Raw genomic sequence first — 27,630 nt, forward strand, 5'->3', positions numbered from 1 at the left:
CAGGCTGCAAAGTTGGCTTTCACAGTGCAAGCCTTTGATTCCCAATGGGGGACTCAGGATCAAGACGATCTACCCTGGTCTCCCGGTTGCCAATATTCAGAAGAAGTATTAACAGAAGACATGATTCTCTTCCTTCTTCACCTTCTTCCAGTAATACAGTTGGTGTCCACAGTTCCTCTCCTTCCAGCACTAACTCAAGCTCAGGTAGCACAGGTAAACGGAGGAGCATATTCCGTACTCCTTCCATTAGCTTCCACCATAAGAAGGGGAGTGAGCCTAAGCAAGAGCCTACCAACCAGAACCTTAGTATTTCAAATGGTGCTCAACCTGGTCACAGCAATATGCAGAAACTGAGTTTGGAAGAACATATTAAGACCAGGGGAAGACATTCTGTTGGTTTTAGTAGTTCACGAAATAAGAAGATAACAAGATCTTTGACAGAGGATTTTGAAAGGGAAAAAGAGCACTCAACTAACAAGAATGTCTTTATAAATTGTCTAAGTTCTGGCAAAAGTGAAGGGGATGATTCTGGTTTCACAGAAGACCAAACTCGTCGTTCTGTTAAGCAGTCAACAAGGAAGCTACTCCCTAAATCTTTTTCATCTCACTATAAATTTTCTAAGCCAGTTCTACAGAGCCAATCCATTTCATTGGTACAACAGTCTGAATTCTCATTGGAAGTTACACAGTACCAAGAGAGAGAACCTGTATTAGTAAGAGCTTCGCCATCCTGTTCTGTGGATGTAACAGAACGGGCAGGAAGCTCTTTACAATCTCCTTTGCTTTCTGCTGATCTTACCACAGCTCAGACACCTTCAGAATTTTTAGCCTTGACTGAAGATTCTGTGTCTGAAATGGATGCATTTTCTAAAAGTGGAAGCATGGCATCCCACTGTGACAACTTTGGCCACAATGATTCTACCTCTCAGATGTCCCTCAATTCTGCTGCTGTTACAAAGACAACAACAGAACTTACGGGAACTGTTCCCTGTGCAATTATGTCTCCTGGGAAATATAGGTTAGAGGGTCAATGTAGCACTGAATCTAATTCATTACCGGAAACCTCTGCTGCTAATCAGAAGGAAGTGTTATTACAAATTGCTGAACTACCTGCTACAAGTGTGAGCCACTCAGAGAGTAACCTACCAGCAGATAGTGAAAGAGAAGAAAATATAGGGTTACAAAATGGTGAAACAATGCTGGGGACAAACTCCCCAAGGAAACTTGGATTTTATGAGCAACATAAAGCAATAGCGGAACATGTAAAAGGGATCCATCCTATTTCAGATTCAAAGATAATACCTACTTCTGGTGATCATCATATTTTTAACAAAACATCACATGGATATGAAGCAAATCCTGCCAAAGGTATGCTGATTTTTTTTGTATAACAAATGATATGAATTAATTTTCATTATACTTTATTCAGTTTTCTTATTCCATCTCATGAATGGAAACCACATTTTTCTTGTTTTTCACTTTCGAAATGGTTTCCTATTCATAATTTGTGTTAAATGTTTCCCCTGCTTGATTTTAAACTTACATCAATTGTGTTATGCTGAAAATGTAATTCAGCAATATTACTCATTTTTTCTCACTTATGTTATCCATAACTAAGAAGCAGCCTCTTAGTTACGGTGTTTATTGGAGCACCTTCAGAAGAAAGTGAATGGAAAGTAATTGTTTGCAATGTGGATTTCTCCAAAGTAAGGACTGTCTTTTATAGAGTTTATTATAGAGGCATTGGTATTTCTTATTTAATGAAATGGATATATTCCAGCTAAAATCACTATAAAATTTGTATAATTTAATACGAATTTTATAATTTCCTTTGTTAACTAAGCTTTCATTATTAATTAGGATCCATGTTTCAACATAAATAATTCCTATCTCTAGATACAATAACAGAATTGTAAGCTTAAAAAAACCTATCTTTGGAAGCTGGAGACAGGTTTCAACTCTGCCTCTGACATTAACTAACTGTGCAACTTTGGACACCTTCCCTTTAGTTTAAAAAAAGTGTTAGTATATGTCCATTACTGTAATATGGCTACAGAAAACTTTGTTTTTTTAACATGAAATTCAGTTCAAGAAAATTTTTGAATATATACCACCTGCTGGGCTATCTTTGACATATTTTAATTCCTTTTTCTCTACTATCATTAATGCTACTACTGCTACTAATAATTTTCCCAAATTTGGAAGTGATTATTATGTCCTAGATATTATTCTGTATACTTTATATACATTAATTAAAATGATTGAAATTGCTACTATTATTATAAGCTATTTTGCAGGCAAGAAGATGGGAGCAAAGATAAACTGTGTGTCCACAATCACAAAACTAATAATTCATTTATTGGGATATAAATCCTATGAGGTAGGCTCCTATGTTTCCCATTTTACAAATGTGAAAACAGGCTAAAGAATCATACAGCTGGTAAGTAGTGCAGTCAGATTACAACTCTCTGAATCCAAAGCTCTGGCTCTCCATAACTATGCTTTACTACATGTCATGACTTAAAATATTAAATAAAATTTATGTGACATAATGTCACGAGTAATAGGATTATAAAGTTTATCCATAAACATAGAATTTCAAAGTTTTAAATGCATGAGTTAATTTTCCAGCTGTCTTAATACTTTTCTCATTTGATACAAGATCACTTTTATGCACGTGACCATGTTTGTCCATTTTTGGAACTTTGTATTCTTTAGTCATATATGCCTAGCTCCTTTACCTGTAATATAATCATGAGAATATGATAATGATGATGATATTAATGATGGTTACCCTTTTGTATAATTAATATATGCCCAAAAATGTACTAAGAAGATTGCATGCACTGTTTCATATAGTCCTTATAAAAATTTTGCATGTCATGTTAATAACTAAAATTTATAATAAGTTAAATAACTTTATAGGGTCACATAGTTAGCAAATGATGGACTTGATATTGAAATCCAGGAAGTTTTAAAATTATATAAAAAAGAGATAGAAATGCAATTATCCTGACATATCTAATTCTTATTTAGTAATGATGACTTTCCTCAAAGCCTAATTGAATACTGCATATTTTTCTCTCTCTGGAAATTAGAGAATGATCAGTTATCTTGGAGACTATTACTATGTTGATTGGGATCCTATTTGTAACACAATAACACATTAATTTTGCTGATTTGATAATGTGTTGGCTGTTCTTGGATAAATAAGCTGGTAATGTCAACAAACTAAACTATCCTTTAGTTTTTGAAAATATTCATGTGCTATTTATAAGGATTTTATAATTTTGAAGTTTAAAATTTTAAAAACAGCTAAGTAAATGTATTTTATCCAATAAAGAGTTGCTATAGACACTAACTTTCATAATGCTAAATTTAGTTTGTATTTTGTATGAAATATTTAAGCCAGTACTTTATACACATCTAAGTGTTCTAGGTGTACAATCATGTCAGAACTAATGAGTTATCTGGCAATTTAACTTTTATTCATTGTCTTAAAAAGTTATTTAAAAAGAACTGCTATATATTGGACTAATAGATTCTGGACAGTCTTTAAACTAGTAGATGAGCCTAATTAGAACAATTTTTTCATTTACTCATTCATTCATTCAGCAAATATTTATTGTTTTAACACTATGTTAGGCACTAGGGATGTAGCAATACACAAAACAGGCCTAGATCCCTGCCTTCCTGAGGCTTACTTTCCACTGGGGATACTCAGTTAACATGCTATATATATCAGATGGTGATAACTGCTGAGGGTAAGTTTAAAGCAGAATAAAGGCTTAGGAAGCAGAAGTGGGATTCCAGTTTGCATTTTTAAATGTAACAGGATGATACCCAAGGTAACATATTGGTAAAGGTTTGAAGGAACTTAAATAATAAGTCATACAGATATTTGAGAGAAATATATTAGTGCAAGGTTGTGAGTCAAAGGCTGTGTAGGGCTGGAGCATGCCAGTGATGTACCAGAGCAGCAAGAGTCCAGTGTGGCATGAGCAGAGTGATGGAGGGGAGAGCAGGACATGAGATTGCAGAGGTGAGCAGGTGAACAGGGTGCTCCTCCTGTCCCTGGTTTGGGGACAGAGAGAGCAGTCATATGGGTCATATTATGAAGAATTTGTTATGCCATTTGAAAAACATCACCTTTTGGCTAGAGGAGTGGTGGTGATGGCCCTCACTTATGTTTTAAGTATATGATTCTGGCTACTATGTGGAATGTAGATTGTGTTGCGGGTGGAGAGGCAGATGAGAGTAGGCAGAGGTAGGAGAATTGTAGCAAATATTGCAGTAACCAAGCCAGCATAGATTTGGTCCAGGGTCTTAGAAGGAGAGGTAGAAGGAATCAGATTCTGTATACAGTTTGAAGGAAATAAGGACAGGATTCATTTATGTGATTAATGTGAGCAACGAAGCAACAAAGGATGACTCCAAACGTTTTGGGCTTCAAAGAGATTACATGATTAAGTGAACTAAACTGATGCTATACATTTAAAAGTTTTCTTGTGATAGAGAAACTTTGAATAACACTAAGAGTTTTTCATGATCTTTCAGTGGGACATTTGTAAAAACTACATTTAAATATTTACCTTCATTTTTATTTATTTTCCTTTCCATAGTTCTTGCCAGTAGTCTCAGTCCATTTCGTGAAGGAAGATTTATAGAGAGGAGACTGCGATCCTCGTCAGAAGGCACTGCAGGGAGTAGCAGAATGATTTTGAAACCGAAAGATGGAAATATAGAAGAAGTTAATAGTTTAAGAAAGCAAAGAGCAGGTTCTTCATCTTCAAAAATGAACAGTTTGGTAAGTATATACATATGTCTGCCTCTAATAAAATAATGCTGTCTATATCCGACATGTTCATGTCTCTTGCAAAATGAACACAGACTACAGGATAGACACCTCATATTTGAAGGGAAAATTTGTTTCCATAGTTGACATTACAAGTCAGAGAAACAAATTTTTCACCTAGGTCAGGATGGAGTTCACCATGACAGCTGTCTTTAGTTCCTGTCTTCCTTGCTTCCATGGAAAGTTTGACATTCTTTATTCTAGAACAAGACACTTGAATACAGAAACTAGGGAAAATGCTGAACATGAGGCTCCCCTTTGACACCATTATTTCACATCTTCTCTCCACCATATAGCCCTCCAGAAAATACCCTTTTGTAAATCACACTTACTCCAGTACCACTCTTAGTCCCTGTAGACCCTATCCTCGCTGTCCTCCTGCAGTGCCCTTCCACAAAGGGTGAGGAGTTGGTGTGAAGCTTATGAGGACCAATGTGAAATGCCCATCCAATGCTTGCATACATTGGAGGTAATCAAGATACCCTATTCCTGGTCCAAATTGTAGAGCCTGCTTTTAGTATGAGGGTGGAGGTGGGGTGTGTGGGGAGAGGCATGGTCTGAGTTTGTATGTGTGAACTAGGGTGTCACAGAGGCATTAGTATGAAGCTCCCTCATGGTATGAGATGGACCCAGGGGTGGGAAGAGATGAGGGGCGAACTGCAGCCTTGGGTCCATGTGGCCTCAGGTTTCACAAGTATTAGAGTGTGATTGCCTTTTGGAGATCACTTTGCTCACCTTCTCACAAATGTGTCCTTTTTCAGCAGTGTATTTAACATCTATTATCTAAAAATGTTCCTTAAAATAATCTTTCTACCTACCTATCCATGCATATATGTGAAAAATGCTCAAAAATAAATCACTTATGATATCTCTATTGTTTTACATAATTGGGTTTCAAATGAAAATATTAGGTAATTGAGATCTGATAATTATTTTGTGAAGAAGCCTTAAGTTAGTAAGGTAACATTGTGTGATAGCAAAATCACTGTGCTTGATGTTAGAGGTTTTAATCGTTTTTTTCTGGTGTGACCATTTCTTAATCCTGGGCAAATTTGTAACCACAAAATAGCAAGTGATAATAGGTGTCTTGTTTCCATTATACTAAAGAATGACTATGTGAGTATGTGTTTACATTTGTACATATGGAAACATATATTTCATGCTTCGTTTTGTTCTTTTGTGCATTGGCTATTATATTATTATTGTTGCAGTGGATATTTTTGGTCTAAGTATGAAAATATGTTAAAGCGGATTTCCAATTGATGCACCATTAAAAGTTAGGACTAATGAAGTATTACAAAACATTTATCATCACAACATTTTCAGTATTTCTTCATGGAGAGGCATTTATATTAATAGGGTTACACTATTCAACTTGCTCAAAGTTGTGCCTTTTACATATTCTCTCATATCTCATGTGTTTTTCATACTGCATTTAATTTAAATAATTCTAGTTTGAGACAAGCCTAGGCAAAATATTGAGAACTCATCTCTAAAAAAAAATTTAATAATTAGCTAGAAGTGGTTGCACCTGTAGTTCCAGCTACTCAGGAGGCTGATGTGGGAGGATCACTTGGGTCCAGGAGTTGGAGGCTGCAGTGAGTTATTGCACCACTGCACTTCGGCCTGGGCAACAGAGCAAGACCTGGTCTCGATAAGATAAATAAAAAATAAATAAATAAATAAATAAAATGTAAAAAGTGCTTCTTATAATATCACAAAGTCACTCTTCTCAGATTTACTTTTTTTTTTTTTTTTTTTTTTTTTTTGAGACAGAGTCTCGCTCTGTCTCCTAGGCTGGAGTGCACTGGTGCGATCTCGGTTCACTGCAACCTCTACCTCCCCAGTTCAAGCAATTCTCCTGCCTGAGCCTCCCGAGTACCTGGGATTACAGGCACCTGCCACCATGCACAGATAATTTTTGTATTTTTAGCAGAGAGGGGGTTTCACCATGTTGGCCAGGCTGGTCTTGAACTCCTCCTGACCTCAAGTGATCCACCCGCCTCAGCCTCCCAGCGTGCTGGGATTACAAGCGTGAGCCACCACGCTCAGCCCTCCGATCCGCTTTTAAGATTTAAAACTTAAGAAACAAAAGTGGTTTTGTTCCTTTGAGGCCTTATATTTAAATTTTCAAAAGTGTGCCTGTAGTATTATAGTCTGTCCACTAGATGGCAGAAAGACACCACTGCCGTGGTGGTGGACAGTATATCAGGGTTGGAACAGAAACTTGGTAAAATATTGTACATGTTCATTGGATTTACAGATGAAACTTACTGAAATAAATACTGAAACTTTTGAATTTCCTAAAGAGAACTACCAAAAACTACTTCACGATCTTACCATCTTCCTTTGGATTTTACAAGTTATGTCTCATCTTTCAGTTACTTTACAGTTTATTCATTTTTTATTTTAATTTTTAATTTTTTTAAGGCAGAGTCTCACTCTGTCACCCAGGCTGGAGTGCAGTGGTGCAGTCTCGGCTCTCTGCAACCTCCCCTCCCCGGTTCAAGTGATTCTTGTGCCTCAGCCTCCCGAGTAGCTGGGACCACAAGTGTGTGCCACCATGCCTGCCTAATTTTTGTATTTTTAGTAGAGATGTGGTTTCACCATGTTGGCCTGATTGGTCTTGAACACCTGACCTCAGGTGATCCACTCACATCACCTCCCAAAGTGCTGGGATTACAGGTGTGAGTCACCGCACCTGAGCAGTTACTTCACACTTAATTAATTAATTTAAAATGCATGAAATATGTTTTTTAACTTGTAGCACTGTAAGGAAGAAATGGTAGGGATTATTTAGTTCTAGATACATGTGAAACAAGTGATGTATATTTGGAAAATTGTAGCTGTCTGTGTGAACACTGGCACATTTTCTATATTCCTCTTCCAAAATAATTTAAGCAACTGCATGTATTTAAGAATGTATCCATGGTTCAGTTATTTTATTTTAAAGCAATTATAATAGAAACATGTGTTTTTAATGCTTGTTGGAACCAAGTGACTACTTTTAATGCCTGACATGTATTATCACATTCAGTCCTCACAACAGTACTATCAACTAAATGATTCTGTGGTGATCAAATTTTGCGAAAGAGGAAAATAAGGTACTGAGAAGATAAGCAGGTTGCCTAAAATGACATAGCTCATAAATGGCAGAGATAAGATTTGGATTTGGATCCTTTCTAAGTTCAAATCCTACAATCTTTTGGGAAAATGTATTCGATTTAAAATTAAGTTGAGCCATTTTTCAATTGTTTGCATCAATTTGGTGTAATGAAATTAAAACATTTAAAGCAATCTAACCTTGCTTGCTCTAAGTCTAGGCTGCAGCATTCTGTAAGAGATACAAAAGAGGAAAACAGAAACAAAATTTAGTGCTTAATCTGAACTTAAAATGCGGTCATGTTTCTTGAAATGCTGATGAATAGTATCAATGTCCTTACTGAGAGATATCCCATCAAAAAGGAACTTTGTCACAAAAGAGGATATTCATACTTAGCAGTTTTGTAATACTTCTTTACTCCTAACTTTTAATGTTAGCATTAATGCAGCCCTTCATGTAGTTCATGGGGATTTCAATTCTCATAATAAAATATGGCTCTATTTATTAAGATGCTGAGCATTTCCTGAAAGACCGAAGATATTACCTGATGGATTAGATATAGTTAGATATACCACAGTTCTGTTGTTTTTGTGTACTTCTGGGGTATTTCAATCTGGAAGCGAAAGGACAGGATGTATGAACTCTTCAAACATCAAATGCCGAGAACAAATTGGGATTGGCTTAGGTTTATTAAAGGAATCCAAAGTAAATTTGGAACAATTTGATAAGTGTTCACATTTATTATATTTTTTCAAACCTCTTTATAGTATTTTTCCAATTTTTCTCTAATGAGTAGCTTTCTGAATACATTTCTTGCGATTGTCCAAAAAATTTAAAATGCTGTTCTAGAAAAAAGTTAAAGAACATATTTCTTTAAAGAACTTACTTCAGGAAGTTTCTCTCCAGACTATGGTATATAAATGTATACATGTAAGGATTTCTCATGGGTTCTCCAATGGCTTTACATAGGGAATTCTAACTCTAAATATTTACAAGATTACTCTCTAAAAAAGTTAATGTGAGAGTAGATTCATATATAATGAACAATACAGAAGACCTGGTACCGTTAAAGGAAGGAAAAATGCCTAAGTGGATGAGTCAGGATAAACTTGGCTAAGTGATAAAAAATACCGCTGGGCGTGGTGGCTCAAGCCTGTAGTCCCAGCACTTTGGGAGGCTGAGGCAGGCAGATCACTTGAGGTCAGGAGTTCAAGACCAGCGTGGCCAAGATGGTGAAACCCCGTCTCTATTTGCATTTTGTAAAAATACAAAAATTAGCTGGGCATGGTGGCCAGTGCCTGTAATCCCAGCTACTCGGAAGGCTGAGGCAGGAGAATTGCCTGAACCTGGGAGGTGAAGGTTGCAGTCAGCTGAGATCATGCCACTGCACTCCAGCTTGAACAACAAAGTGAAACTCTGTCTCAAAAATAAATAAATAAAATAAAATAAATAAATAATAACTTCCAAATCTAGCGACTTATATAATATAGATTTCTTTCTCACTTAGGCTACATGTTTATTGTGGAAGGCATTGGGGTTCTGTTCAATGTCTCCTCCTCCTGTATTCAGGCTGTGGAAGCAGCTAACTCTGCAAACATTGCCTTTTACCATGGCAAAAAGAAAGAGATCTCTGGAGGTCCCTGTAATAAAATACTTTGAATTGTGAAACTCACTTTCTTCTGCTCACAACTCATTGGTCAGATCTAATCATATGGCCCAAACTAGAAACAAAAGCAGCCAAGAATAATAATGAGTTTCCTGTATCTAGAGGCGGAGACTTAGGTTTGGTGAACACTTAATGACTCATATTCCCAAATATTTTGTTGTATCCAAGTTCTTTTAATTAATCGAGATTTACTGACTGCCTCCTCTTTCCCTTTTGTCCAGAGTCATTTAATGGGCCCTGACTTTGTGCTTCACACTGTCCTGGTCTTTGTGGTTGAAAAGATGAAAACATCTCTGTAACTGAAGAATTCATATATACTACAGGTTTTATTCTTTAGAATATTCTCTCTTCCTTACTTAAAGGCCTTGAGATGTGTATCTTAAGTGAACTAAGTTTACTTTTTTCCTTGACTCAAGGAATCTTTACTATTTTTGTAAGTATTTATTTTCATTGCACCAAGCAGTTGGTTTTGAAGGTTGCATTATCTTCAGATTACTCAGCAAATGCATTTGCAAAGTTGCCCTGTACTATTTGTGCTAAGTGATTCAGACAACTTTCATTTATGGCCAATTTTACTCTGACACAGCATGTTTTCTTTCATTTAGCATCCTGCTGCTTTTATGTGGAAACTGTGAATGACACAGTAAAAACATAACTGTAGGACTTTGGTAGAAGAACAAATCCGATTTATATTTGATTAATAAGAAGTAGTTAGTTGCAGATCGTTAGCATCTCATATCACATTTAATTTTTTGGTATGTTGAACTGCAGAATTTACTTATTATTGATAATAGTAGAATAATATGACTGTACCCTATTTGAGATAGCCAAACACTTTACTATTCATTTACTTTTCTTCTGGGGCCTGCTGTTTTCTCATTTATTAGCTTATCCTTTATTCATTATAATTCTTCATTTCTTCATTCATTAAAACATTCACAGTTTCTTACAATAAATATTTATTGACAATCTGCTCTGAAGAATCAAAGATGAAAGAGACAGTGCTTGAGGATTTTTGAGTTCCCAAAGGGAGAGATAAGGTTAAACATTATCTTGCCAATACAACAGATTTAACCATTTTGACCATCTCTAAGTTCAGAATGGGTGGGGCATGCTTCATTTGGATTGTGAGCATCGAAATCCAAAGTTAAGAAGAGTTAAAATGGGCACATGAACTCCTGTTTCCCAGCTTTGTCTGTGCCTTATCTCACACACTCAATGACACTGTTAAATATATGCATAACTTTCTTGTGTCTTTTGTTCATTTCTCTAACTGAGACCCAGCTGCTAGTGCTGAGCAGGTTTGCTGAAAGAAAGTTGGGACAGTAAAGAAGAACGTACAAAATGAATCTCATGATTAATATTAAAACAAATCAGTCTCAAAACACCCCACTTGTACAATCCGCCAAGCAAAAGAATCCCACTGGGCTCATTTGGTATATACACCTTCACACTTCTGTTTCACGGCATGAAAGTTGCTCAAGCTTGAAATTAAAAACAAGACAGCCTGGGTGCAGTGGCTCAAATCTGTAATCCCTGCAATTTGGGAGGCCGAGGTGGGCGGGTCATGAGGTTAGGAGATCAAGACTATCCTGGCTAACACGGTGAAACCCTGTCTCTACTACAAATACAAAAAATTAGCCAGGCGTGGTGGCACGCGCCTGTAGTCCCAGCTACTTGGGAGGCTGAGGCAAGGAGAATCCCTTGAATGTGGGAGGCAGAGGTTGCAGTGAGCCGAGATCGCGCCACTGCACTACAGTCTGGGCAACAGAGCAAGACTCTCTCAAAAAAAAGCAAAGATGATAATTAGAAGATCTGATTTTGAAAATTTCTTAATCTTGAAATCCTTAATGAGACTTTCCAGTATGTAAAAATGTTAATGGCTTTGGGGAGTTAAAATAACGATTGCAGTTTTTAGTGTAACTGACTGTTAATAGAATTAAAGCAAATATTGCTTGGTTACAGGGACATCTAATAAAAATGGAAGCCATTAATATTTTTCAGGAAATGGAGCCATATGAATCATTCTCCTCAATTCTTATAAATTTTAAGGAAGAAAATCACAAGTATCACTCATTAAACATGAAATTACATTTGTTGATAACTGGCATACATTTTAGGTTAATAGCCCTAATCCTTTATGCTTTTATTTGTTTTTCCAGTTACTAATCATATTTTCCTTTCAGTACCCTTCTAAATTGTATCATGGACGTAACACTCACCACATAGTTATTTGAATGTGTCTCATTTTACCTGAAAGGTTTCAATCGTTTAAATGGAAGGAGCTGTGTATATACTGGCATTTCTTGCGGTCATTAATATAGCACCTGGTGGAAAAATAGGCATCTAATAAATATGAATAAATTAAAGGTAAAATTTCTGGTTAAATAATGATACATGTTTATATAGATGTGAATTAAGGCTTCTAGTACAAGAATTGTGTGTGGAGTGCTTATGCACAGTTTTGACATTTTAACTTATTATTCAAATATACAGGTATTTCTTATGATGCATTGTCTGATAAAGCTCTGGCTTTTTTGACACTAAATCCTTGATCAGGAAGGCCATACCAATTATGACATTGTTCCAGTGGAAGCACAATTTATTTTAGGATTATCAGCCTTATAGAATGGTTTCTAGGATTATATGAGTACGATAGTTATAAACTGGCCATACAATGAGGACAAGAAATAGTCAAATATTTGTGGTATTCATTAAGCCCATTAAAATATAATATCTTGGTCAAATATGGGTAAGCGAAGATTTTTAAAATCCGCTGCTATTTTATCTAGTCCAGCTCACTTCGTTTCTTATAAGCTTATAGATTCAGAGTTGCCTTTAGAAGCAGGATTGAATAAAAATATTCCATTCATTTTTGTCTTTCTGAACTTTGAGATGAGTCATTTTCATTTAGAAGCTGTCACAATTTGTATGTTTGTTGGGCAAAATTAGTAATAGTTTATTCATACACTTAACTCACTTCTTAAATGATTTAAAGATCGGTTTGAGTAATACTTAGCACCTACATTGTTACCTCTGTGATAACATAATTTAATAATTATTACAGGTACATAATAGGTGGATATATTTATGGGGTACATGTGATATTTTGATACAGGAATGCAATTTATATTAATACTAATCACATCAAGGTAATTGGGTTATCTATCACCTCAAGCATTTATCATTTGTTTGTGTTAGGGACATTCCAATTCCAGGTTTTTGTTATTTTAAAATATACAATAAATAATTTTTTCACTATAGTTACCCTATTGTGCTATAAAGTACTAGATCTTATTCATTCTACATAACTATATTTTTGCATACATTAATGTCCCCCCAACCCTCCAACTCTTTCCAGCTCCTGTTACCCATCATTCTATTCTGTATTTCTGTGACTTCAAATGTTTTAATTTTTAGCTCCTGTATATGAGTAAGAATAGGCAAAATTTGTCTTTCCACACTTCATTAATTTTATTTAAAATAAGGTCCTCCAGTCTCATTCATGTTGTTGCAATTGACAGGATCTCATCTGATTTTTATGGCTGAATAATATTCTATTGTGTGTATGTACCACATTTTCTTTATCCTTTTGCTTGCTGATGGACACTTAAGTTGATTGCATGTCCTGGCTATTGTGAATAGTGCTGCAATAAACATGGGAGTGCAGATATCTCTTTGATATATTAATTTCTTTTTTCCGAGTGCATACTTAGCAGTGAGAAAGCTGGATCATATGGTAGCTGTATTTTTAGTTTTTCAAGGAATCTCCAAAATGTTCTCCATACTGGTTGTTCTACTTTACCTTTTCATCAACAGTGTACAAGGGTTCCCTTTTCTCCACATCCTGTTAGCATTTGTTATTTGCCTGTCGTTTGGATAAAAGACACTTTTTATATGCCTGTTGTCCATTTGCTTGTCTTCTTTTGAGAAATGTCTCTTCAGATATTTTTGCCTATTTTTAAATTGGATTATTTAGTTATCTTTTCTATTGAGTTGTGTTAGCTGCTTATATATTCTGAGTATTAATACCTTGTCAGATGGGTATTTTCTCCCCTTCTGTGGGTTGTCTCTTGACTTTGTTGATAGTTTCCTTTGCTGTGCAGAAGCTTTTTAGCTTGATGTGATCCCATTTTTCCATTTATGCTTTGGTTGCCTGTGTTTTTGAGGTCTTAGTCAGGACATTTTTGCCAAGACCAATGTCTTGGAGAGTTTCCCTAATGTTTTCTTCCATAGTTCCATAGTTTGAGGTCTTAGATTTAAGTGTTAATCCATTTTGATTTGATTTTTATATATGGCAAGAGATAGGCGTGTAGGTTCATTCTCTGCATGTGGATATCCAGTTTTCCAGCACCATTTATTGAGGAATCTGTCCTTTCCTCCATGTATGTTATTGGCACTTTTGTTGAAAATGAATTCACTGTATATGTGTGGATTTATTTCTGAGATCTCTACTCTGTTCCATTGGTCTGCGTGTCTGTTTTTATGATACTACCATGCTATTTTGGTTATTATAGCTTTGTAATGTAATTTGAAGTCAGATAATGTGATTCCTCCAGTTTTATTCTTTTTGTTCATGATGGTTTTGGCTATTCTGGGTATTTTGAATTGTTACATCAAAATTTTAGGATCATTTTTCTATATCTGTGAAGAATGTCATTAGTATTTTGATATGGATTGCATTCAATCTGTAGATTGCTTAGGTAAGTGTGGATATTTTAACAATATTGATTTTTCAGTTTCATCTTCAGTTTACTTTATCAGTGTTTCATAGTTTTTATTGTAGAGATCTTTCACTTCTTTGGTTAAGTTTATTCCAGTAAAGTTTACATATTTTATTATTATTGCTGTTGTAAATGGTAATGCTTACCAGGCAAAGTCTCTTTTTCTCTTCCTTCACTTTCCCCTAAACAGAAGGAGACTCTGTGGTAAGGTGGCCTGGAGCTGAGGGAGGGGTAATGTAAGTACTTCCATTGCCACCACAGCTGGAACTGCACTGGGTCATGCCTGAAGCCAGTGCAGTACTGGGTCTTACCCAAGGTCTGTGACAACTGCTGCATGGCTACCACTGATGTTTACGCAAGGTCCAAATGTTCTTTAGTTAGCAAATGGTGAATCCTGCCAGGTCTGGATCCTTCCTTCCGGGCAGCAGGTTCCCTTCTAGCCCAGGCTGGGTCTAGAAATGCCATCCAGGCGCTGGGGTCTAGAATCAGTGGCTTCAGGAATATGCAGGGTGCTTCATTTTAATGTAGCTGAGCTGGTTACCAGTTGCAAGACAAAATCCTCTGTACTCCTCCCTCTCCTTTCCTCAAGCAGGAGTCTCTCCCCATGCTGCACAGCCTGGAATTGGGAGAGGGGTGATGCAAGGACTCCCTTGGCTGCCACAGGTGTTGTCTCACTGGGTCATGTGTACCCCAAGTCCACTGGCTCCAAGTCCAGTGCAGAACTGGGATTTGCCCAAGGACTGAAGTTCTTGTGACCTGTCTTTCAAAGTTATTTGGGACCCCATGCCACTTTGGTCAGCTGGTGGTGGAGCTAGCTGGAGCTCAGATTCCTACCCCTAGGAGGGAGGATTCTCCTCTGGCAGGAGGGGAAACCTCTAAATGGTTTCTCTGTGAGCACTGGCAGAATTTGGTTCTGTGTTGTGTTCTCTTGTGACAAGACAGCACCGAGTCCCAATGCAAAGCCTCACAATCACTTCACTCTCCCTCCCACAAGCTCACAAATTTTCTGTCTGTGCTGCCAGAGGATGGAGTAATGGTGGTTTGGGCAATGCAACAGTGTCTTTCCTATCCTCTTTTTTTTTTAAATTTTATTATTATACTTTAAGTTTTAGAGTACATGTGCACAATGTGCAGGTTAGTTACATATGTATACATGTGCCATGCTGGTGTGCTGCACCCACTAACTCGTCATTTAGCATTAGGTATATCTCCTAAAGCTATCCCTCCCCTCTCTTCCCACCCCACAACAGTCCCCAGAGTGTGATGTTCCCCTTCCTGTGTCCATGTGTTCTCATTGTTCAGTTCCCATCTATGAGTGAGAATATGCGGTATTTGGTTTTTTGTTCTTGCGATAGTTTACTGAGAATGATGATTTCCAATTTCATTCATGTCCCTACAAAGGACATGAACTCATCATTGTTTATGGCTGCATAGTATTCCATGGTGTATAGGTGCCACATTTTCTTGATCCAGTCTATCATGGTTGGACATTTGGGTTGGTTCCAAGTCTTTGCTATTGTGAATAGTGCCGCAATAAACATACGTGTGCATGTGTCTTTATAGCAGCATGATTTACAATCCTTTGGGTATATACCCAGTAATTGGATGGCTGGGTCAAATGGTATTTCTAGTTCTAGATACCTGAGGAATCGCCACACTGACTTCCACAATGGTTGAACTAGCTTACAGTCCCACCAACAGTGTCAAAGTGTTCCTATTTCTCCACATCCTCTCCAGCACCTGTTGTTTCCTGACTTTTTAATGATTGCCATTCTAACTGGTGTGAGATGGTATCTCATTATGGTTTTGATTTGCATTTCTCTGATGGCCAGTGATGGTGAGCATTTTTTCATGTGTTTTTTGGCTGCATAAATGTCTTCTTTTGAGAAGTGTCTGTTCATGTCCTTCGCCCACTTTTTGATGGGGTTGTTTGTTTTTTTCTTGTAAATTTGTTTGAGTTCATTGTAGATTCTGGATATTAGCCGTTTGTCAGATGAGTAGGTTGCGAAAATTTTCTCCCATTTTGTAGGTTGCCTGTTCACTCTGATGGTAGTTTCTTTTGCTGTGCAGAAGCTCTTTAGTTTAATTAGATCCCATTTGTCAATTTTGGCTTTTGTTGCCGTTGCTTTTGGTGTTTTAGACATGAAGTCCTTGCCCATGCCTACATCCTGAATGGTAATGCCTAGGTTTTCTTCTAGGGTTTTTATGGTTTTAGGTCTAAAGTTTAAGTCTTTAATCCATCTTGACTTAATTTTTGTATAAGGTGTAAGGAAGGGATCCAGTTTCAGCTTTCTACATATGGCTAGCCAGTTTTCCCAGCACCATTTATTAAATAGGGAATCCTTTCCCCATTGCTTGTTTTTCTCAGATTTGTCAAAGATCAGATAGTTGTATATACGTGGCGTTATTTCTGAGGGCTCTGTTCTATTCCATTGATCTATATCTCTGTTTTGGTACCTATCCTCTTTAATGCCTCTCCTTCACATGTTATTAAAACCAGGTACTATGATTGCTCACCTGACTTTTGGTTCTTATGAATGTGCTTTCTTGCCTGAATATTTGTTCAGTTTGGTGTTCCGATGTGGGGACAATCACTCGGGGTTCTATTCAGCCACATTGCTCTACCTCCTACATTATTAAACTTACTATAAATAGTCATGTTGTAACAATAGCAGTATGAAATATGTATGTTAGAATAAACTGTACTTATTTATTAAGAAAATAATTTAAAAGGACAGCAGTAAATGAGAATTAGATATCTTTTACCTGTAACCCTACGAATCTAGGATATACTTTAGATATTAATAGTTCATATCCCTTTAAAATTAAGAAGTTAGAAAACTAAGATTGTTTATCTTTTATTTTTCAAGTTATATTATTTTTAATTGGATCAGTTAAGTTTATCTCTTAATTTTCCGTGAGAGGACAACTGCTTTGTTCCTTATTTAGCTAACTGAATGGGCTGGGACAGCTTCCATAGCATAAGAGATAATATTTATTGATTCAGGGTCTGCGACAGATCTCTGACCATCTGAATAGATGCTTCACAATTTGCAGCACAGAATTGACCTTCAGTAAACTAACTACCTGTTCTGAGGTGACAGTCACTGGAATCTGAGGTTTGTACATTATTCATTTTAGACAATGAAGACGATTTATTTTATACTTATTTTATGGTGTTGAAATTTAAACACATTAAATTAACATCAATAAATTAAATAAGTCAAAGAAATTCTGACTCCAAAGGTCAAGAAATATAGTACTACTGAAGAATTATATTCAGTATTGACCATTAGAATTAAAAAATATAGAAATATCTAAATATATTCATACTCTTTTTAAGTAATTTTAAAATTGAGACATTTATAATTGTCTCACAAACTATCACATTTGTAATGTAAGTGTAAAACAGTGTAATTTACAAGTGAATCTGCATATGCAATTTCACAATCTTCCTATGTGATACCTTTTTTTTTTTTTTTTTTTTTGAGACGGAATCTCACTCTTTCACCCAGGCTGGAGTGCAGTGGCGCAATCTCGGCTCACTGCAAGCTCCGCCTCCCAGGTTCAGGCCATTCTCCTGCCTCAGCCTCCTGAGTAGCTGGGACTACAGGCACCTGCCACCACGCCCGGCTAATTTTTTTTGTATTTTTAGTAGAGACGGGGTTTCACTGTGTTAGCCAAGGTGGTCTCCATCTCCTGACCTCGTGATCCTCCTGCCTCGGCCTCCCAGAGTGCTGGGATTACAGGCGTGAGCCACCGTGCCCAGCCGATAACTTTTTGTTTTAAACTAGCCGTTTCTAAATTAGAGTAGCTGCCATTTTTATCACTTTTATAATCTCATTCATTGATTATTTTACTCGTGCTAAAAGTTTGCTCTGAAATTCCATATATATATATATATCTTCTGTTGTTCTTAGTTTGGTACATCCCACCTAAAACAGACTACCTACTAATTCTTTTAAATCTCTCTGTTAGGCTCTTTATTGTATACATTTGTAATTATATACAAAATTATTTTCATACTCAGCTAGTTATCTCAATACCACACAGTGATTAATTTATGTGTCAGTGAGAAACATTAAGAATTTTATTGCCAAGAGAGACTCACATAAATCAGAATTCTTATCAGGTTTCAAGAGAGATAGGTGCAGTAGGGGGTGGTCTGGAATATCCCTCTTGCTCCCCAGGCCCTTTCTTTCGGCATCCGATGAGCCCTGGCCCAGGGTATTGGATGAGGTTTGGAGGGTTGGGTGTGTACCAGTGACCTCATTTGTACAGGAGGAGCCATCTCAATATGAAGCATCTCCATTTTATACTCAGTGATACAGCATAGATGGACATTTTTCAGGGAACCATAGCCTATATATTTTTAGATTCCATCTTCATTTTTCATAAGCAATTCAGACATATTCTGCCAAAAGCAGTATATAGATAAACTGCCCTAGTGAAAACCCTTCAGTTTGTTTGCTAGGAAGTCTGTCATTAGTATGTTTCCAAAGAGATCCTACCAGGTCATCTGCTTTCTTACTTTCAGGAAAGCAGACACCATTTTCCCCTGTAAGAGGGAAAATGGATCACAGGCTAGCTGCTTAACTCAGGCAGCAAGTGGAAACTTTGAATGCTCTCCTCAAAATATCTGTTCTATTCTTGCAATCCCCCTCACTTGTATTTTTACCCATTGGTGTTCATTTCCTTTGATCTTAGGGAAATACTTGTTTTCTCATTTCTTCTAAGCAAAAATTCTACCACTTGTCCCCATTTTAACTGCTCATCTACTTTAGAACGGTACTCCATCAGTATGTTTCTTCTGCTGTCTTGAGTTTCTTTCCCATCTCTTCATTGCTGTCAGTTTAAAACACTGCCAAGTTTTCCATCTTTGAAGAAACAAATAAAAAATAATATTTTTCTGTATCCTACTTGCTCCTAAAGTTCTCCATCCTATCCCTCTTTTTCCCTACAAGGCAAACAGTCGTGACACTTGCCATACTCATTTTCTCACTGCCTATGAATTCCTCGATTTCATGTACTTTAGCCATTATAATACAGGTTCTCAACATCAGCATTATTGAGATTTTGTCCTGGATAATTCCGTGTTAGGGGGACTGTGTTGTGCATTGCAGGATGTTAAATAGCATTCATTACCCCTACCTAATAAATGCCAGTGGGACCCCCTGGTTGTGACAACTAAAAATATTTCCAGACATTGCCATGTGTGCCCTGGTAGATAAAAATTGCCCCCAGTTGAGAACTATCTAAAGGTATCAGTGACTTTGCCAATTTTCTTTTTTTTAATCTTAATTTTGTATTCATTTAACAGTGTTGAGGACTCTGCGCACTTACTCTCTTTCTTTCACAGTGCGAAATCTCCTGTGGTTATTCTCATTCTTCTTTGCTCTTTTCAGATTCCTTTGGAGGCTTCTTCACACCCACACTTTAAACACAGCTATTTCTGCCATTTGATCCTTTATTGCTTTTTTATTTACCTGTCCTATCTAAAAACTTAAGATAGAGGGGAAGTTATAAGTGGATTCCAAACACAAAGGCTGGGAATTTCTATTATATTGGAAATCTGACAAAATTGAATAGGCACGACAATCACAATATATTAGATTTATAGAAATATAATGAGGGCCTATGAAAAATTATTTCCATAGGGAGAATAGCCAAAACTCTGAAGGCAATTATCTTTGGAGTGGATATAGAGAAATATGCAGTGATTTTGCCCTAATAGTTAATGGATTCTCTCCTTTTTTTTTTGATGTATATTGCTATTGTAATTTTTGTTTTTATACAACTATATTTCAGCCTGCTTTTAAAATAGTCAAGTAATTCTTAATATCCCCTTCTGTGTCTAAAGTCACTTTGGAGAAGCAGCAATTCTGTCATTTAAAGTAGGACCTCCCTATTAGAATCAGAAATGTAATACATTGTAATACTATTTTCTACTCTCACTGCTATCACTGACCATTATGCATTATTTTTCCAAATTGAAAGCAGCTTAAGTCAAGCAAAAGGCAGTGGCAAAAGTTGCGGGCATTGTGCAAGCAGCATGTATTAAACAATCCAGGAAACTTGGCAACCCCCAGAGACACAGATGTTGCCCACTTCTGCCCTGCAGTGTGGCCTCTGCTACTGTTGTCTCTGCTTTGTCTCCTTCAGAGCTTCCCAGGGACTGTGCCTCAGGCTGAATTGTGCCTCAGGCTGGCTCTGGTCCAAGAGGAGCTTGTGGTGTGCAGAGGGCATGTGTTGGGGAGGGGTGGGAAGTTTTGACTATGACTTTAGAAAAAACGAAAATCTATAAAATACCTTTAGTGTCTAAAAATAAAAAAAGTAATAAAGTAATAAAATGTACTAAATTAGTGAACACAAACACTTTTGTAATATTTTCATGCTTTTCCACACTTCTTTGTTTTTTAAAGGCTTTTGGTACCTCCTAATCTTTCATATGCTGTAAGAATATGCACTTGTATTTTATCTTTATGAAACTTGTCTGAAATAAAAGTGCATTGTTTAAAAATCAAAGGTACACTTTCTTCTAAAACACAATATGAACAAAGTAGGAAAACTTACAAAATTGGAATACTTTTTTGTCAGTTAGATGTGATTTTATTTTAATCAAGTACATGGTATGATGAAAAGAATGATTGATTTGGGAAAGGACACTGAACTCCAATGTTACCTGTTTCAGAAGATAATAATAATACTGCCCACCTCATACAGTTGTCATAGAATCAAATAATATAGTTTATGTGAAAAGGCTTTGTAAGATTTAAAGTGCTATACAAGTGAATATGACAGTTGTTTTATCAATAACGTGTCAAAACTAGAAACATTGAAAAACAAATAGTATTGCCTTTTAAAGTAGTGATTTAGAAAAGAAATATTTTAAAAGTCAAACTCACATTTAGGGTATATCTTTACCATGACAGTGTTAGTTCCTTTCAGCCACAACTAAAAATTCCTAAATGTTCAAGTTATTTATCTATTAGATCTTTATAAGGGTAATGTGCTATTTACTTGATTTGTATTTGGCTATTTTTTGAAAAGTCATACATTTTTCACAGTCTTCAAAATCGATTTATAATCACTTAGAAAAAAATTAATTGAGCAGTATGCTTAAGATTTGAATGCTATGATTTATGTTATACTTTAGTTAGAAAGTTTACTCAACTCAGTTATTTTCTGATTATTAAACTGGGAAAAAAGCATCTGCTCAGAAGACAGGTGTCTTGGCTATTTACAGAGAAATTTAATTTGCATTTTTTTATTTCTTAAATAAATACAAGTTTAACCATTGTAGACATTTATGTGACTACTTATGTAACTTATATAATAACTCGATAAATTACTAATTTTAAAGTATCTTTTGTCAAATTTTAAGGTAATGCTATTCAAAATAGGCAATAACTTCAAAGACCAAAAAATAACATAGAAGAAAATAATGATAGATTATTTATTTTCCTTTAAGAATAAATTTTGAACGTAGTATATTTAGTAGTAATGGTCATTTCTATGATAATTTAAGATCTCTAATCTTTTGTGAGAGAAACTTTTGTAACACACTCGAGTTTTTGCACTTGTCTTTCTTCTTTCTTTATTCTATTGGAAGGATACTTCCACCAGTAGGTTATTCAGCTTGAATATTTAAACTATCAGGGATTAGAACTAGAGGGTAACCAGCTGTCAGATAATTCATATCATGTATTAGGCTTCAGTTGGGATGAGACAGTATATCTCAGCATGCTGTTACCTTCAGTAAGATTTATGTTCCAAAGTGTGGATACATTAATACAAATAGTGATTTTAAATGAAAAGCAGATCAGCCACCTAGCTATGGTTCATGAATCACAGTGATTCTCACTTTATCTTTCTCTCTTTTATTTTTTAATAATAATAATAAAAGTACATAGAAAGTATCTCTGAGCCAAGTGGGTGCCAGAGTACATTGATGCTAAAGCTTTAACTTGACCCAGCCGTCCACTGGAAGTTGCTATAGCTGAGAAAAAAAGAAGTGAGGCATAGATGCTGGGTTTACATTTAGAAAAAGAGAAAGGAACTATTAATGCGTGCTTTTCTCTAATAGCATTTATCTCTCTAGGAAGTCCTGCATAACAAAAGAAGTTGGGATGCCATTAAGTTTTATGAAGTGATACTATGATTTCTTGAAGGGAACTTACTATTACGCTGCTGGAAGCCTGTAAGGTCTGTTAACTAAAGAAGTTCAAAGATAGCCACAGTTGTTCAGTATATAGTTTTGCTTTGTATTTTTTTGATTCAGTGCAGTGGGGTTGAACATAAAAGATGCTTGAATCTTCAGCTTTTCATGATTCTCTGCTTGTTATAAATAGACTATTAAGTAATTTTTAGGAAATCAGAACAAGCGACCTATTCAAATGATTTCTACAGAATTTTTTTTTCCTTTTGTAAAACAATATAAAATACAGTGATTTATAAATTTTGGTACTATAGCTTTGCTAAAAATTTCTATATTATTTAAAAAATAAGAATACTTTTACCATAAGATAGGAAATTATTCTGGTTCAATAAGCAAGCCTATTTTACTGAAACAATAGATAAAAACTTCACTAAAAATATTTTTTTCTTTTTTTTTCTTTTTTTAAGAAGCATGAGTGCATAATAAAGTAACAGTAGAAATGCTCAGGATAAAACAGCAACCCAAATTAAAGAGAGTGTTAAAAAGATGATTTTATTAGATGGACTTAATGTCCACCTAATGGACAAATAAAGTAAATTCTGTTTGACCCAGTGCTAACTATGTGCCCGTTATGCATTAGGTACTATTTTAGGGCATGGGGATGACATAGTCAACAGGAAGAGAAGATTTCTTTACTTGTGGCAGCTGAGTTACATGGTATTAAAAGAAACTAAAAGAAAGTCTTGAATCTGAAACATTTAGATTTCCTACCAGAGTCCTGAAATGCCTGCATTCTGAAAATAGAGGCTCCTTTCCCACAAGGACACCTTACTAGAATAAGTAAGAAATTACTAGTTCTGGATTCTATTACAGATCTAAGTAATCAATCAAATGGTGAACAGCCCACAACCAAATCTGAAAATAGAAGTGAGGGGATATAATTGGCTTATAATTATTGGTGAGGTAGAGCAAAGGTTTAAGTAAAGTGAGTCCAATGCATTTCTTCAGTGAACGTTGTGGACTACCATGAGCCAGAAACTGGGCATTATGTCTTCCAAGAAATGTAAGACAGCTTTTTTTTTTTTTTAAACTTTGAAAGGTTGTATTATACATTTGTTCAGATAATCTGTTTCCACGAATTGTCAGATTCACAAAACAGAACTTGTAGGAAGTAGAACTCAGAGAAGTAAAATGAGGTATCTTCATCTCTATTTTTATTTTTTCCCCTCTGTCCCCTTTTTCTGCCTCTTCTTAGTGTCAACTTATTTCTTAAAAATAAAAGCATTACTGAAAATAACAAAACTCAGTTGCATATTAATAGTATCAGACTCAAGAGAACAGATAAATTAGGTATTGCTTCTTCTACTGTTCCCGCATGTGAATCTTTTACTTTAAAGAAAAAGTTAACCAAACTTACTTTCATGCTTTATAGAACGAGCATCACTTTAGTTATGCCACGTCGCTACAGTTTTCATAAGTAAATTTTATTTTATTTTTTTGAGATGGAGTTTTTTTTTTTTGCTCTTATTGCCCAGGCTGGAGTGCAGTGGCTTGATTTTGGCTCACTGCAACCTCCGCCTACTGGGTTCAAGCAATTCTCCTGCCTCAGCCTCCCACGTAGCTGGGATTACAAGCGTGCGCTACCACCCTGGGCTAACTTTGTATTTTTAGTAGAGACGGGGTTTCACTATGTTGGTCAGGCTGGTCTCAAACTCCTGAACTCAGGTGATCCACCTGCCTTGGCCCTCCAAAGTGCTGTATTTACAGGCATGAGCCACCATACCCGGCTATTTTTATTTAACAATAATTTCATAGTTACAAGGAAGTTAGATGGATTAAGTAAAGAACTCTCATAGGACCTTTAGATAGATTTACAAATTGGTGATTTTTATCACATTGTCTTTCTTTCTCTCTCCTTCTGTCTCTGTGATAAAACAAACATATATTATCTATATTATTTTTGTGAATCATGTGAGTGTTGGTTGTAGACATCATGATTCTTTACTCCTATATACTTTAGCATGTATTTTCTAAGAAGAAGGATATTCTCTTACATCAGAAAGTAAGTATCAAAATCTGCAAATTTAACCTTGCCACAGTATTTTATTTAATATAAATCTATATTCAGTTTTTCCTAGTTGTTTCAATTAAAACAAAATCTAGGCTCCAATCCAGAACCACGTGTTATGTTTAGTTGTTATGTCTCTTTTCTCTCCTTTAATCTGAAATAGTTTCTCATCATTTTTTCTCTTACATGGCACTAACACTCATGACAGTTATTTGCAGACTAATTCATGATTGTCTGGTTTTTCACTATTAGATTCAGCTTATGCAATTTTTGGAAGAGAAACTACATGTGTAATATATTGTTCTTCTTAGTGGATCATGTCAGGGGGTGCAAAATGTCAATTTATCTCATTCCTGGTGATGTTACTTTTGATCACTTGGTAAAGAAAGTGTTTACTAGTTCCTCACCTCTCTGTGGAAAGGGACACAGCTGAAGCCATGCCTTTTACATAGGGTGCTCTCTTGCCTACACAGTTGTAACCGGGAGTGGTTCAAGACAAGACATAGACTCAACAGTTTTGATGATGAATTGTGGAAAAGAACATAGCACTAACCAGGAATTAGACAAGAAACAGAATAACAGAATTTCTCAGAAACAAACACAAAACAAACAAAACGAAACAAAAAAAGAAATAAAACCAAGAAAAAAATCAGAAGAAAAAAACAAACAGAAATTCAGCAAACGTGAAATGCTATTGCCACTTGAAAGTCACTTTGAGATCCAAGAAGAGACATGCCTGGTCTTAATCAGACCGTGAAGTTACTTCTCCAGCAATGCAGTTTAAGTGGTTCTAGCATGTGAGTTTACTTCAGCATCTCAGTGAGTTGTCCACAATTGTCAAAGTGTAATTTTCAAAAGTTTAAAAATGATTTTTTACAAATATAGATTGGACAAGAATCAAAGATCTACTCAATTCATTAATAAGAAAACCTGCACAATAGTAAATTGGTTCAAAGAGCATTTGATTAACTGGATATTTATAGCAATTTGATAGAAGAATGCTAGAGTAATATTGGAAAGTTGGATACAAAATCGGTTCAGGTCCTGCAGGACAATTATCAATTACTAGACAAAAACATTTGTATCATCATTGGATACAAATTTGCAAGTTACCTTTTAACTTCACTGAGTCAGAGCTCTTACAGTAAATAGCAAAATCAAACAATTATATAATCTATTGAATGTAGTAATCTTTGGGAAAGCCTTTTAGGTAATACTTCAGTATGCGATCACCTTCTTGGCCTTCTTTCTGTTTTGTATTCTTAACACAACCATTACCTTGGTGAGCTCAAGAGAAACCAAGAGAACAGCAATTTAGACCAAGAGAAATTCATGTATAATTGCGATAATGCACAAAGTATTTCAGTAAGGCAGGAGAGTTAGAATAAAGGTGAGATGCTATGATAGAAAGGGGTAGGAGATAGAGAAGAGCTAGGCCAGGGAGAGTCACTATTATATAATGAGGGTTTGGGTAGGAAGTCAGGAGCGATTGACTTTTTTTAAGCGATTGGTTTTAAGCAGGAAAGTAGCACAAACAGATAGGCCTTCTGGAATCATCATTCATTTAATTTTAAATATATTAAATGAATTCATTATGTGGCTATAGGTTAGAGTAAAAAATACTTTACATAAAAAAAGACAGTGTTCTTTATTATTGTGACTACAGAACAGCACATTGCTTTTTTGTTGACATTTGAGATAAACTTTATATTGCAATTTGTTTGAGATACTTTGCTGCCAAAAAAAAAAGTTTTCTCTCAGCATTTAGCCAAAGTTTCATATTATTTATTCAATTATGCATTGTTTTATGCTTGTTCTTAAAAATAATAGAGTTGTGTATTTAAAAGCTTTCCCATTAGTGAATAGTTACCCAATAATCATGAACTTATCAATTAAATCTATTAGGGAGAATGGCAATAATGACGTTCCTAAGAGAAGGACACCAATGAATTATTTATATTTTGGCTATTTTTCTTTTATTCAGTAGTTTGTGTACCATTCTAATATTTTGACTTCAATTATAAAATACCACAATTTATTAGTGACTGAAGTCACACAGCCCAATTTATGATAAACCTATTTTCTAGTCACAAACCAAACTGTCATTCTGTAAAATATCCTCATAGTCTTGCACATAGGGTAGTGTGAAAGGTGACAAAAGGTAACAGGAAGAATTTATAAAAGTCAAAAATCTTATGTGTAGGCAGTGGATGTGACTATAGGGATTTATACTTATTGTATTGTAAGTAGCAGCGGGTTTTTGGTTTGGCTCCTGTGTGTTAATTCTGAAATCAACTACCTTATTCAAAGGCATTATTTTTTCTAAAAGACACTGGACATGAAGAAACAAGTAGCCAGAGATGCAGTTGGCATGAGCTGATTGCAAGATTATTTTCTAATTAAAATACGTCATGGCAAAGAAAGAATAATTAGGTATCATATAGGCTTCTTCATTGACAGAAAATAAAAGTGCCACACTTAATTTTTAAACCATTCACAAATCCAATTCATGCGTAAAGTGAACTTAAAGATGACAGACTAATTAATTAATGATGAGTGGATTAGAAATGAGAAATACAAACAAACATGTCTGAAGAGAGGTAGTAATTATATATAAGCTTGTAGGTTGTCAGGATTTTCTTAAGTATTTATTATTAGGAGACCTTAAGATGTTTTTCCTAATACCTAAGAATATGAGCTTTCTATGACATTTCATCTATAATTTTCATGATTAAGCCTTATATAACATTTTCCCTTTTCTTTTTTAGCCCTATGAAAGCAAATATTTGTTCCCTAAATTTGCTCATTGTCAGGGATGGAAAATTTGGAAAGTTAATATTTATTGGAAGTTTATTATATATCAAAACTTACATAGTCATATTTCCCCCATGAAAAACTGTGCACTTTTAGTAAATGGATGTAGTCATTAAAATTCTTTCTCCTATTGAATCCTACCTCCCTGTAACTTGTGTATTGTTCTCTGTTGCAACACACAATTCTGCAGTGTTGGCCAGGCTGGACTCAAACTCCTGATTTTAAGTGGTCCTCCCGCCTTG

At 35.6% G+C, this 27,630-nt stretch overlaps 1 protein-coding gene across 38 annotated transcripts in view, besides 3 other annotated features; it reads left to right on the top strand.

Moving 5' to 3' along the window:
• The window catches only part of CCSER1 (coiled-coil serine rich protein 1), a 1,477,902-nt gene that overhangs the window by 180,847 nt on the left and 1,269,425 nt on the right, over window positions 1–27,630 (top strand). For 35 of the 38 annotated variants that reach the window (XR_001741218.2, XR_938733.3, XR_938734.3 and 32 more), the window contains exons 2-3: window positions 4–1,368; window positions 4,623–4,807. Coding sequence is in view for 33 of the 38 variants with exons in the window: in XM_011531936.2 (XP_011530238.1) it covers window positions 45–1,368; window positions 4,623–4,807 (1,509 nt within the window). In the remaining 5 variants the exon portion in view is untranslated. Of the gene's footprint in view, window positions 1–3; window positions 1,369–2,297; window positions 2,441–3,098; window positions 3,280–4,622; window positions 4,808–27,630 lie in introns of those variants that run through there. The other 3 variants (XM_017008201.2, XM_047415684.1, XM_017008200.2) reach the window with 3 other exon arrangements.
• Window positions 6,743–7,102: an enhancer, noted in NCBI's record as "active region_21724". NCBI's record gives its function as "activates an Ori minimal core promoter by ATAC-STARR-seq in GM12878 lymphoblastoid cells {active_cell/tissue: GM12878}" and the evidence as "EXISTENCE:reporter gene assay evidence [ECO:0000049][PMID:35858748]".
• Window positions 6,743–7,132: a biological region, named in NCBI's record as "Sharpr-MPRA regulatory region 11449".
• Window positions 6,838–7,132: an enhancer, noted in NCBI's record as "tiled region #11449; K562 Activating non-DNase unmatched - State 12:CtcfO". NCBI's record gives its function as "activates a minimal TATA promoter and a strong SV40 promoter by Sharpr-MPRA in K562 cells {active_cell/tissue: K562}" and the evidence as "EXISTENCE:reporter gene assay evidence [ECO:0000049][PMID:27701403]".

The sequence above is a fragment of the Homo sapiens genome, chromosome 4, assembly GCF_000001405.40.
Source record: "Homo sapiens chromosome 4, GRCh38.p14 Primary Assembly".
Classification (NCBI taxonomy): Eukaryota; Metazoa; Chordata; class Mammalia; order Primates; family Hominidae; genus Homo; species Homo sapiens.